At 38.3% G+C, this 12,536-nt stretch overlaps 1 long non-coding RNA gene across 1 annotated transcript in view; it reads left to right on the top strand.

The window, feature by feature from the left end:
- The first annotated feature begins 8,901 nt into the window (after positions 1-8,901).
- Positions 8,902-12,536, top strand: part of RMEL3 (enriched in melanoma 3) — a 140,307-nt gene continuing 136,672 nt past the window's right edge. Inside the window, exon 1 of the long non-coding RNA NR_186596.1 lies at positions 8,902-8,973. This is a non-coding gene — a long non-coding RNA (enriched in melanoma 3). The remainder of the gene's footprint in view (positions 8,974-12,536) is intronic.

The following is a 12,536-nucleotide window of genomic DNA, read 5'->3' on the forward strand; positions in this document are numbered from 1 at the left end:
AATAAAGCAGGTCTTCATAACTCTTAAACACCTTTCACCATTCTGTCTATTTCAGATTAAATGAGGCCAGCTGCTGAGGATGTCAGGGAGTCTGGGTAGGCCAAGGCCAGGGAGCAGAGAGTCCTGGGTCCCTAAGGCCACATATGAGGGATGAATTTTGGCAGCAATGCAGCAAGTCTTCTCACATGTAGAGACAAAATGTATAATATCTGGAATGTGTTGGCATGGGAGAAGGGCTGCCTGCTAGTCTCATATACCAGTCACAGAATGAGTGCTGCCACGTCTTATTTTATATGTGTGCGAATCTACATAATGTTGGAAATAATGTGGTTAAACCAGGGATTGGACCCAATTGTCTTAAGTGACCAGGTGGTTTCTGTAAATGATTGAAACACAAATGCCTCATTTCAAGGGAGCAATTATTACTAAACTCCAGCCCACTGCCACCAGACCATAAAAACTTATGTTTTCAAGAGGACATGAAGAAAATATTGATTTTTGTGTGAATTCTTCTGATTTTAAAAGTTGGGAATGGGCCAGGTGCAATGGCTCAGGCCTGTAATTGCAGCATTTTGGGTGGCCGAGGCAGGCAGATCACCTGAGGTCAGGAGTTTGAGACCAGCCTGGCCAACATGGTGAAACCCCATCTCTACTAAAAATACAAAATAAATTAGCCAGGCATGGTGGTGCATGCCTGTAATCTCAGCTACCTGCGAGGTGGAGGCAGGAGAATTGCTGGAACCCGGGAGGCAGAGGCTGCAATGAGCTGAGATCATGCCACTGCACTTTAGCCTGGGTGACAGAGCAAGACTGTGTCTCAAAAAAAAAAAAAGTTGGCAATGAAGTCTAAGTTTTAAAAATGCTGTATGACCAAACCAAACATAGCTGAAGACACATGTGGCTGGTGGGTCACCAGTTTACAATCTTGATGCTATCCAGGAACTCTCCAAGGTACTGTTGATACAGTCATGTTCACAAGTACTTGAAAGAATCCAGTGACAGACCTAGAGAGGACAGATAAGGAAGACACAGAGAACTTCTCTCAGAAAACCGTAAAACAAGCTGTTTTCATTAAAAAATAAAAACTGGAATCCAGCAATTCGTATCTTGAGAAAAAGCAAGATGTTTAAATATCCATTGATAGAAAATTTAGTAGTAAAAGGTCATACTTGGACATGTACATAAAACAAAAAAAATCTGTGACTAATTAATAAGAAGGGACCTGATATAAAAAGTGGCTGTCTCAGCATAGAAAATGTGGAACAAGGGAAACATAAAACAGGTGAAGAGGACTAGACAGGTTGGGTGAATGTCCCATCACCGACAATGTTCATTGTCACCATTTTTTTTTTTGACGGAGTTTCACTCTTGTCGCCTAGGCTGGAGTGCAATGGCGTGATCTCGGCTCACTGCAACCTCCACCTCCCAGGTTCAAGCGACTTTCTTGCCTCAGCCTCCCCAGTAGCTGGGATTACAGGTATGCACCACCATGCCGGGCTAATTTTTGTATTTTTAGGCGAGATGGGGTTTTGCCATGTTTGTCAGTCTGGTCTTGAACTCCTGACCTCAAGTGATCCACTCGCCTTGGCCTCCCAAAGCGTTGGGATTACAGGCGTAAGCCACTGCACTCAGCCTGTTACCAATTTTTTAGTGAAGAAGAATTAAAAATTGGTATCAGAATTCTTTTAGATATATCTACATAAAATCTCCTAGTTAAAGAATTTATCCTTTTTGATTGAGACTGATGAGTGGTTGAGTAGACCTATGCTCATAGATAGACATGTGTGTAAATAGATCAGCAGGTAGGTACTGGGACTGGATGGATCCTAAAATAACTCTAAGAATTAAGATTCTCATGGCCCTGCTGGGCAAAACCAGGTATGAATTTCTACCTTCATTTTTTTTTATGTGATATATGTTATACTTGTAAGGTCCGATGCATAGGGAAAGAACTCTGTCTGGTTAAGTGCAACAGTCCTGCCTCTAACAATAAAACAAGGTGGAGGTTGATAAAATTATAATTTGGGCTTTTCCTTGATAGCAATATTCAGAATAAGCAATATGTAATCACCACATCAAACCCTTGCATCTTCTTCTCTTTCTACACCAGAACCTGTAAAGTCCTTCCTAACCATAACTAAGGCAGCCTGGATGGGACTATGCCTAACTCATGTCAACAGCATTCTCTGCTTTGCTACAGTTATGTAACTACTTTTTAAAAGTGTTTATGGCCTCAGTTTTATTGGTCGTTAAAAAAACCATTTTTTTAGAGCAGTTTTAGTTTCATAGCAAAATTGAGAGAAATGTGCAGAGATATCTCATATACTCTAAATTCCACATGAATGGCCTCCCCCATATCAACATCTCCCATCAGAGTGGTACATTTGTTACAATTGATGAGCCTATGTTGATATGTCATTATTAACCAAAAGTCCATAGTTCACATATTAGGATTCACTCTTGGGGTCTTACATTGTGTTAGTTTGAGCAAATGTGTAATGACTTGTGTGCACAATTATAGCATCATACAGAGTATTTTCCCTGCCCTAAAAAATCCTCTATGTTCTACTTACTCCATCCTTCCCTCCCTAGTAATCCTGGGCTTTTCACTGTCTCCACAGTTTTACCGTTTCCAGAACATCACATAGTTGGACTCATGCAGTATGTGGCCTATTAAAATTGACTTTTTTCATCTAGTAATATGTATTTGAGGTTTTTCCAAGTCTTTTCATGGCCTGATAGCTCATATCTTGTTTGTATTAAATAATATTCCATTGTCTGGCCACACCACGGTTTATTTATATATTCACCTATAGAAGGACATCTTGGAAATAATGAATGAGGCTGCAATAAGGATCTGTGTGCAGGTTTTTGTGTCACATAAGTTTTCAACTCTGTTGTGTAGATGTCAAGGAATGCAAGTTGCTGGATCATATGGTAAGAGTATGTTTAGTTTTATAACAAATTGCCTAAGTATCTTCTAAAGTTGCTGTACCATTTTGATTTCCACCAGCAATGAGAGTTCCTATTTCTGTTGCTTCACATCCTCACCAGCATTTGATGATGTCAATGTTCTGGGTTTTGGCCATTCTAAATTGGCATGTAGTGACATCTTGTTTTAATTTGCATTTCCCTGATGATATATGGTGTGGACCATCTTTCATATGCTTATTTTCCATCTGTATATCTTCTCTAGTGAGATGTCTGTTAAGATCTTGGGCCCATTTTTTAATCAAGTGGTTTGTTTTCTTGTTATTGAGTTTCAAGAGTTATTTGTATATGTTGGATATGAGTCCTTTATCAGATATATCTTTTTCAAATATTTCTCCCAGTCAGTGGCTTGTCTTTTCATTCTCTTGACAGTGTCTTTTACAGAGCAAAAAATTTTAATTTTAATAAAGTCCTGCTTATTGATACCTTTTTTTTCATGAATTGTGCCTTTGGTGTTGTATCTAAAAAGTCATTATTGAACCCACATAATCTAGAATTTCTCTTATGTTATCTTCTAGAGTTTTACATTTTACATTTAGGTACATTTTACTTTTGTGATTAACTTTCAGTTAATTTTTGTGACAAGTGTAAGGTTTATCTCTATATTTTTTTTACATGTTTAGATGTCCAGTTGTTCCAGCACCATTTGTTGAAAAGACTTTTTCTCTATTGTATTGCCTTTGTTCTTTTGTCAAATATTAGTTGACTATATTTATGTGGGGCTGTTTCTGGGCTTTCTTTTATATTCCATTGATCTATTTGTCTATTATTTCACCAATACCACACTGTCTTGATTACTGCAGCCTTATAGTAAGTCTTGAAGTCAGGCAATATTCATCCTCTAACTTTGTTTTTCTTCTTCAATCTTGTGTTGGCTATTCTTTGTCTTTTACCTCTCCATATAAACTTTAGAATCAGTTTTTTAATATATACAAAATAACTTGTTGGTATTTTGATTGAGATTGCATTGATCCATAGATCAAGTTGGGAGAACTGACATCTTGACAACATTGAATCTTCCTTTCCATGAACATGGGATAGCTCTCCATTTAGTTAGCTCTTTTCTTTCTTTCATCAGCATTTTCTAGTTTTCTTCATATAGATCTTATACACATTTTGTTGGATTTATACCCAAGTATTTCATTTTTGGGGATGCTAATGTAAATAGTATTGTGTTTTAAATTCAAATTCCACTTGTTCATTGCTGGTATATATGAAAGTGATTTACTTTTGTATTTTAACCTTGTATCCTGAAATCTTGCTGTAATCAGTAATTAGTTCCAAGAGTTTTTTTGTTGCTTCTTCAAATTTTCTACATAGACAGTCATGTCTTCTGTGAACAAAAATAATTTTATTTCTTCCCTCTCAATCAGTATACCTTTTATTCCTTTTTCTGTCTGATTGGATTAGCCAGGACTTCCAGTACAATGTTGAAAAGGAGTGATGAGAGGGGACATCCTTGCCTTGTTTTTTAATCTTAGTGGGAAAGCTTCCAGTATCTCAACATTAAGTATGATGTTAGTAGTAGATTTTCTGTAGCTATTTTTTTTTTTAAATCAAATTGAGGAAGTTCCCCTCTATCCTAGTTTGCTGAGAGCTTTTTTTAATTTATTTTTTATTTTTTATTTTTGATGGAGCCTCGCTCTGCTGCCCAGGCTGGAGTGCAGTGGCACGATCTCGGCTCACTACAAACTCTGCCTCCTGGGTTCAAGCGATTCTCCTGTCTCAGCCTCCTGAGTAGCTGGGATTACAGGCATTCACCACCATGCCTGCCTAATTTTTGTATTTTTAGTAGAGATGGGGTTTCACCATGTTGGTCACGCTGGTCTCACCCGAACTCCTGACCTTGTGATCCGCCCGCCTCAGCCTCCCAAAGTGCTGAGATTACAGGCGTGAGCTACCACGCCTGGCTGCTGAGAGCTTTTATCATGAGAGAGTATTGGTTTTGGTCGAATGCTTTTTCTCCATTTATTTATTTTTACTTGTTTTCTATTTAAAAAAAATTTTTTTATGGAGATAGGGTCTTGCCATGTTACTCAGGCTGGTTTCAAACTCCTGGCCTCAAGTGATCCTCCACCTTGGCCTCCCAAAGTGCTTTTCTTTATTTTTTTATATGAGCATTTGTTTTTTATTATTTAGCCTGCTGATGTGATTGATAACATTGATTGATTTTTGTGGTATCCTTGCATATTTAGGATAAATCCCACTTGGTTCATTTTTGTGCTATTGATTGATTTTTGTGCTATCCTTGCATACTTAGGATAAATCCCACTCAGTTCTGGTGTATAATCCTCTTTGCATATTGTGGGATTCAAGTTGCTAATATTTTGTGGAGAATTTTGCATCTGTGCTTATGGGAAATGTTGGTTTTCAGTTTTCTCTTCTCGTAATGTCTTTGATTTTGGCATTAGGGTGATACTGGCTTGACAGAATGAGTTAAGAAGTATTTCCTCTGCTTATACCTTCTTAGAAGTACTTCCTCTGCTTCTATCTTCTTAAAGAGATTGTAGAGAATTGGTATAATTTTTCCTTAAATATTTGGTAGCATTCACCAGTGACCCCATGTAGGCCTGTTGCTTCCTGTTTTGGAAAGTCATTATTAATTCAACTTCTTTAATAGGATGATCTTTTCAGACTGTCCCTTTCTTCTTGTACGAGTTTTGGCAGATTGTGTCTTTCAAGGAATTGGTTCATTTAATCAAGATTATCAAATTTGTGAGCAGGGTGTTGTTCATAGAATTCCTTTATTATCCTCTTAATATCCATAATGTCTGTAGTAATGTTGCCTCTTTCACTTCTAATGTTAATAATTTGTATCCTCTTTTGAATTTGAATTTGCTAGAGGGTTATCAATTTTATTTATCTTTTCAAAAAATCAGCTTTTGGTTTCATTTATTTTTCTTTATTAATTTTTTGTTTTTAATATGCCCTCATTTTCATTATTTCTTTTTTCCTGCTTACTTTGGATTTAACTTGCTCTACTTTTTCTAGTTTCTTAAGGTGGAAGCTTAGGTTGTTAATTTAAATCAGAAAGATTTCCTTTCTAATGTATACCTTCAATGCTATAAATTTCCCTCTAATCACAGCTTTTGCTGTATTCCACAAATTTTGATAAACTGTGTTTTTATTTGTATTTACTTCAAAATATTAAACAATTTTTTGGGGGATTTTTTCTCTGACCTATGTTTGTTTAGAAGTATGTTGTTTAATCTCCATGGGTTTTAGGATTTTCCTGTTATCACTTTGTTACTTATTTCTAGTTCAATTTCATTGTGGTCTGAGAGCAAATGTTGTCTGATTTCTCTTCTTTTAAATTTGTTATGTTGTGTTTTACGGCCCATAATGTTATCTATCTTGATGAATGTTCCATGTGAGCTTAAGAAGAATGTGTATTCTGCTGTTGTTGGATAAATTAGTTTATAGATGCCCATTATTCTAGTTGATTCATGATGTTGTTGAATTTGACTATGTCCTCACTAACTAATTTTCTGCCTGCTGGATCTGTCCATTTCTGATAGAGGAGTGCAAAAGTCTATAATACTGGGTTCATCTATTTTTCCTTACAATTCTGCAAGTTATTGCCATACATAGTTTGGTGCTTGTTGTTAGGCACATACACATTAGGGACTGTTATGTCTTCTTGGAGAATTGAGCTATTTATTATTAGGTAATGCTCCTTTTTAGCCCTGATGACTTCCTTGCTCTCCTCTGTCTGTAATTACTGTAGCTACTTCCACTTCCTTTTGATTAGTGTTAGCATGATGTATCTTTCTCTATCCCTTTACTTTTTCTTGTTCTTTTTTTTTACAATAGTCATTCTGTACAAGAACATCAATGTATCCCTTTACTTTTAATCTATATGCATATTTACATTTAAAGGAATTTCTTATAAATAACATATGGGTTGATCTTCTTTTTTGATCCATATTGACAATCTCTGTCTTTTAATTGGTGAATTTAGACTATTGATATTTAAAGTGATTATAGATCTAGTTGGGTTAAAATCTCCCATATTTGTTTCTGTTTTCTATTTGTTGTCCTTTTCTTTGTTCCTAGTTTTGTCTTTCACTCTTTTCCTGCCTTTTGTGGTTTTACTTGAGCATCTTATATGATTTCATGTTTCCCCATTTCTGAGCATTTTGGTTATTCTGCTTCTTTTCTTTTATCTTTATACTTTTTTCAGTATTTGCCGTAGAGTTTGAAATATACATTTACAATGAATCCAAGCCCACTTTCAAAGAACACAATACTGCTTCATGGATAGTGTAAATACCTTGGTCATGTTCTTTTAAATCAGAGTTCCCATATAAAGATGCTTCAAGAGAGAAAAGATTTATGACGGTAGACTTTTGTTTGCTATACCCTTTAGAAAAAAACATGTTTCTAAAGGATAATAAACCTACTTGTTCTTTCTGGTGGCCGGTGACTGCTTGAATAGTGTTTCCTTAGAATTCATGGCCACTGAGAATCACAGTATGTGGCCATATTTGGAAATAAGATCTTTGCAGATGTAATTGGTTAAGATGAATTTGTACTGGATTAAGGTGCGCCCTAATCCAATGACTGGTGCCCTTATAAGAAGGCCAAGTGATCACACAGACACACACAGAAGGAAGAAGTCCGTGTGATAGTGGAGGCAGAGACTGGAGTGATGCAGCTACAAGCCAAGGAACACCAATGATTGCCAGGAGTCTCCAGAAGCTAGGAAAAGGCAAGAAAGAATCCTACCCTAGAATTTCCGGAGGGAGCATGGCTCTGCTGATACCTTGATTTTGGACTTCCAGTTTCTAGACCTGTAAGAGAGTAACTTCCTGTTCTTTAAGCCACCCAGTTTGTGGTAATTTGTTATGGCAGCCCTAGGAAATGGATACAGTAGTGATGGGGGAGTTTCCTTCACTCTGATTGCTGTCATGTGATTGGCATTCCACTGTAACACACCTGGCCACTCACTCACTCACTCAGGGGAGGAAGAATGACTTAAATCTGCTTGTTGACCTGGGAAGGATAAACTGGACACTTGTATATCAGCCTTTTCCCTTCTTTTTTTCTCTTGGGTGTGAACTCACCCCAGAGAGCATGCAGTCTATGTGGGGAGGCCTGCAGAGGATCAGTATTACGAGGCCCCAGGATTGCAATATAAGCAACATCTTCCAATATCGGCCTTAGCAGTGATAAGTTTACATTTTAATTGCCCCAGTGTATTTTTTAATCTTATTTCTCAATTTGTTAAGTACTCAGCATGTATATGGATGGATTGAGGTGGGGAAAGGAAAGCCCCTTTAGACTGGCAATAACCCTCCAAGTTCCTTCTGTTCTCAGTAAAGATTTGTTTAGTTTCCCTTGAGAGGAACATTGTATGGAGAAAGGACACCCTGAGGGATGAATTAGTCCTCCTGTCTGCCTAGCCAGGATCATAATACCTCAGTCATACCCCACACACAAGAGAACACATTCAGTTTTCATATCTTCCAGGAGAATGACTTCAACACCTTCTGAAAGACCCCTGGAGTATTGAATACACTTTTTGTTACTTATCTTCCTTAAACGGCTGAGTTGATGAAAAAAAAAAAAAAAGGTCTGGGATAGGTTAAGATTTTAAAAAACTTTTATCTTTAAATTTCATTTATTATTATTATGTCTCAGTTTTACATTTTTATTTTGAAATAATTATAGTTTCACAGAAAATTACCAAAAATATATGGGGAAGTCCTGTGTATCCTTCACCCAGTTTCCTCTAATGGTAACATTTTGCGTGACTATAGAACATTATCAAAACCCAGACATTGGCATTGGTACAATTGGCAGAGTTTATTTAGCTTTCAAGGGTCAGTCTCTTCCCTCATTTGCCCCCGTCAGGAGGATCTTACTCTCCCAGACTTGTTCTCAGCCTTTCTGGGGACAAATGAAGGAAGCAACTGGGGAGAAGAAACTAACCAGAGGTTTGGAGATGTTTCTCAGGTTATTTTGAGAACAGCCGATCCGGTAGGTGAGAGAAGTGGGTAAGAAAATAAATGGAAAGATTTTAAGTATTGCTGTTGAGTGTGAGTAAACTCTGTTTTTCCTTTTCTCTCACACCCCAACAATTAACACAGAAGACTTCTGTGACCAAATGTGGTGGTGGGGGTTCCCTTATACACCAAGCAAGCAATCGCTTCTGCAGCAGGCACCAGCTGGGCGTCCTCCAATTCAAATCTGACACTGTCTACTGGGAGATACCATCAGATCCCACAGGTTGAGGGCTCAGTCCCACAAGACCACTCTTTCCTTCTTACCAGTCGTAAGTCCAGGCCTTCTGAACTTCTGACTGACTGGCTTCAAGTTGGGGTTTCCATGACCTCCTCTTTGAGTTTAATTAATTTGCTGGAGTGACTTACAGAAGTCAGGGAAACACTTATGCTTACCAGTTTATTATGACGGATATCTGAAAGGATGCAAATAAATAGCCACATGAAAACATGCATAGGGTGAGGTCTGGAATGGTCCTGAGTGCAGGAGCTGCTGTCCTTGTGGAGTTGGGATACGTGCCCCTGCTCTAGCAGGTGGGTGAGTTCTTCGCCTTCCTGCCAGCCTCCATGTGTTCAGCGCCCCGGAAGCCCTCGAACCCTGTCCTTTGGGCCTCTTTTGGAGGCTGCATTGATTGTCCATAATTGAAGCAGAGACAACTGTGTCAAAATGTGATTGGATAAGAAGAGTATGCTCTAAACCCAGCAAGGCCTGTCTGTTCAGATTCTTTTTGGCCTCTCTGTGCAGCATTCCTTCCTCCTGGGAATGGGGCAGGACCTCTTCTGAAATGGGGTCTTATGACCTGCAATCAGACAAGGTAGGTCAGGGAATTTCTTTTTGGCCAGTGCAAGACAGAAAGGTAGGGAACAATTAGAGTATATTTTTAGTTCCTAAGGCCTGCCTTGGGAAAAAAAGGGAGCAGGTGAAAGGAGGGCAGGAGACGGTCAGAGAGAGATTGTATTTTCTCAGGCCTGCTTCTGGGATCTAAAGTGCTCCAACATTACAACAAAACACTGTCACAAGCGCTATGGGAGTTACGAGCCAGAAACCTTGGATGAAAACATATATATAAAATAGTATCACAGCTGTAGTCTCTGGGTGCGCCCCTCCCCAACCCATAGTGTTAGAGAATTTCAAGTAATGACTTTTATTTTGCAACCTCTTTCAGGTGTTATAATATTGTTTTCTAAATGCTGTCTTGACCCAGTTTTGAGGCCCTGTCTAGAGGCCAGTTTCCCTGCCTAGACAGGCGACTGGCCCACGCTTCGACTACCTCCGCTGGCTACTGTCCACCCACACCGATCACCCCAGGACCAGTATCACACAAGCAGGGACAGCCCCTGTGCCCCAGAGCCCACTGAAATTATTCCAATTAGTCCATCCTATGCCTTTTGACCCTGCCTCGCAAATTCCTTCCCTGTAAGCCACAAAAAAGGCGTTCATCCACAGATCCCCCTCCCTCTGCCTCCTGAGGGGGTCCTGGTTTCTTGTGTGACCTCTATCTTTTCAGTGATGTCGTTTCTTGGCCTTATCACACTTAAATAATTAGAAACCTATTAAAACAGGTGGGTGGACCCTTTCACTGCACCACTTCTTTGGAAAAATAACTTTATTTGTTTCAGATCAAGTATGGCAAAAAAGAAAAGAAAGGATCACTCTGTGGGCAGCCTGTGGCTTTGTTCTCCCGTGCTGTTCTGTAGGTTTATAGTGGGTAGGGAGGATGTGTGGGTGTGGCAATGTGTATGTGTGTGTGTATATAATGTTTGCACTATTTTTTTCATGTAACTTAGCTTTAATGGAACTTATATATGAATAATATACTATTGCAATGTATCCATACTGACAATTTTAACTACTTTATAATATTGTATTTTATGAATGTACCATCACTTACTTAACCGTTGCTCTGTTTTTGTCACTTTGAGGGTGCTTATTTATTTATTTTTTTCAATAGTTTTCTACCTACAATACCACATAATGAGGCAGATGTGCTTCATTTGGAGTTTGCGTTGGGGAAGGTCTAGCCTGGCAGTTTGATCAGAGGTCAAGTTTCAGAAGTTCAGAGTTTTATTTTATTTTATTTTAACCACTAAAATGACTTGCTCATGAGCATCTTTGTACAAAACTTCTGTGTGCTCTTGGGATTATTTTCTTGGAATATTTGACTTAAAATTATAATAGTCTCCCCTTATTGGAGGTTTTCATTTTGAAGTGTTAATTGTCCTCAGTCAACTGCAGTCTGACAGTAGGTGAGTATAGCACATAAGATATTTTGAGAGAGAGAAAGAGAGAGAGAAAGAGAGATGACATTCACATAACTTTTATTATAGTATATTGTTATAATTGTTTTATTTTATTATTAGTTATTTCTTACTGTGTCTAATTTATAAATTAGACTTTATCATGGGTATGTATATATATGAAGAAACATAGTCTATATAAGGTTTAGTACTGCCTGTGGTTTCAGGAATCCACTGGGGGTCTTGAGGTGTTTCCCCTGCAGATAAGCAGGGACTACTTCCATATTAAGTTAAAAGGCATTTGTATTTTTTCTCTTTTTATGTATGTTGCCCAAATCTACAGCTAACTTTTGCATACTTTGTCAACAGAAAATGTTTATACTACATTCCATAATATTTAAAAATTAAGGAAGAATTATAGAGGTAGAATTTTAAAAATTAAAAACAAAACCTCTCCATGGACCCCATAAATACATAGACCTACGATGTACCCATAAAAATGAAAAAGTTTTAAAAAAACAAACAAAACCTCATGCACATCTTATGTTGTGGAATGAAATTTGGAAAGTATATCTAGAAAATAAGATTCCTGCTCAAGACCTACTGATCAAAATCTCTGGGAATGAGACCTGATAGCTTACATTTTAAACAAACTCCCGAAGTTATTATTATTATTATTATTTGAAACAAGGTCTCACTCCATCACCCAGGCTGGAGTGCAGTTATGCGATTATGGCTCACTGCAACCTCGACCTCCTGGGCTCAAGCGGTTCTCCTATCTCAGCCTCCTGTGTAGCTCAGACCGCAGGCGCATGCCACCACTCCTTGCTAACTTGTTGATTTTTTTGTAGAAAAAGGGTCTCGCTTTGTTGCCTATGCTGGTCTCGAGCTCCTGGGCTCAAATGATCTGCCTGCCTCAGCCTCCCAAAGTGCTGGGATTACAGGTGTGAGCCATTGTGCCCGGCTCCTCAAATTGTTCTTTTGTGCACAGAAGTCCATTTTATTTTACAAGTAAGGAATGGAGGCTCAGAGAGATTGAATGTCTTGCTCAGGGACACAAGTCCTGGTTTACAATGCAGATGGTTTTGAGCATACTATGAAAATGCCAAGCCAGAAGTCATTTAAGAGTCATTAATTCCTGCAGACTCCTGCTCATGACAGCCATCTCCTGATCTAACCTGCTATAGTTATGGGTCGAGGGTTAGTTCCATTATAATCTCTTTTTAACGTGGCATTGTCATTCAACTTATTTTTGCTTCACTCAGTAGAGAAAGCCTATTTATTAAGCCATTAGTCAATTTG

Source organism: Homo sapiens, chromosome 5 (assembly GCF_000001405.40).
Source record: "Homo sapiens chromosome 5, GRCh38.p14 Primary Assembly".
NCBI lineage: Eukaryota > Metazoa > Chordata > Mammalia > Primates > Hominidae > Homo > Homo sapiens.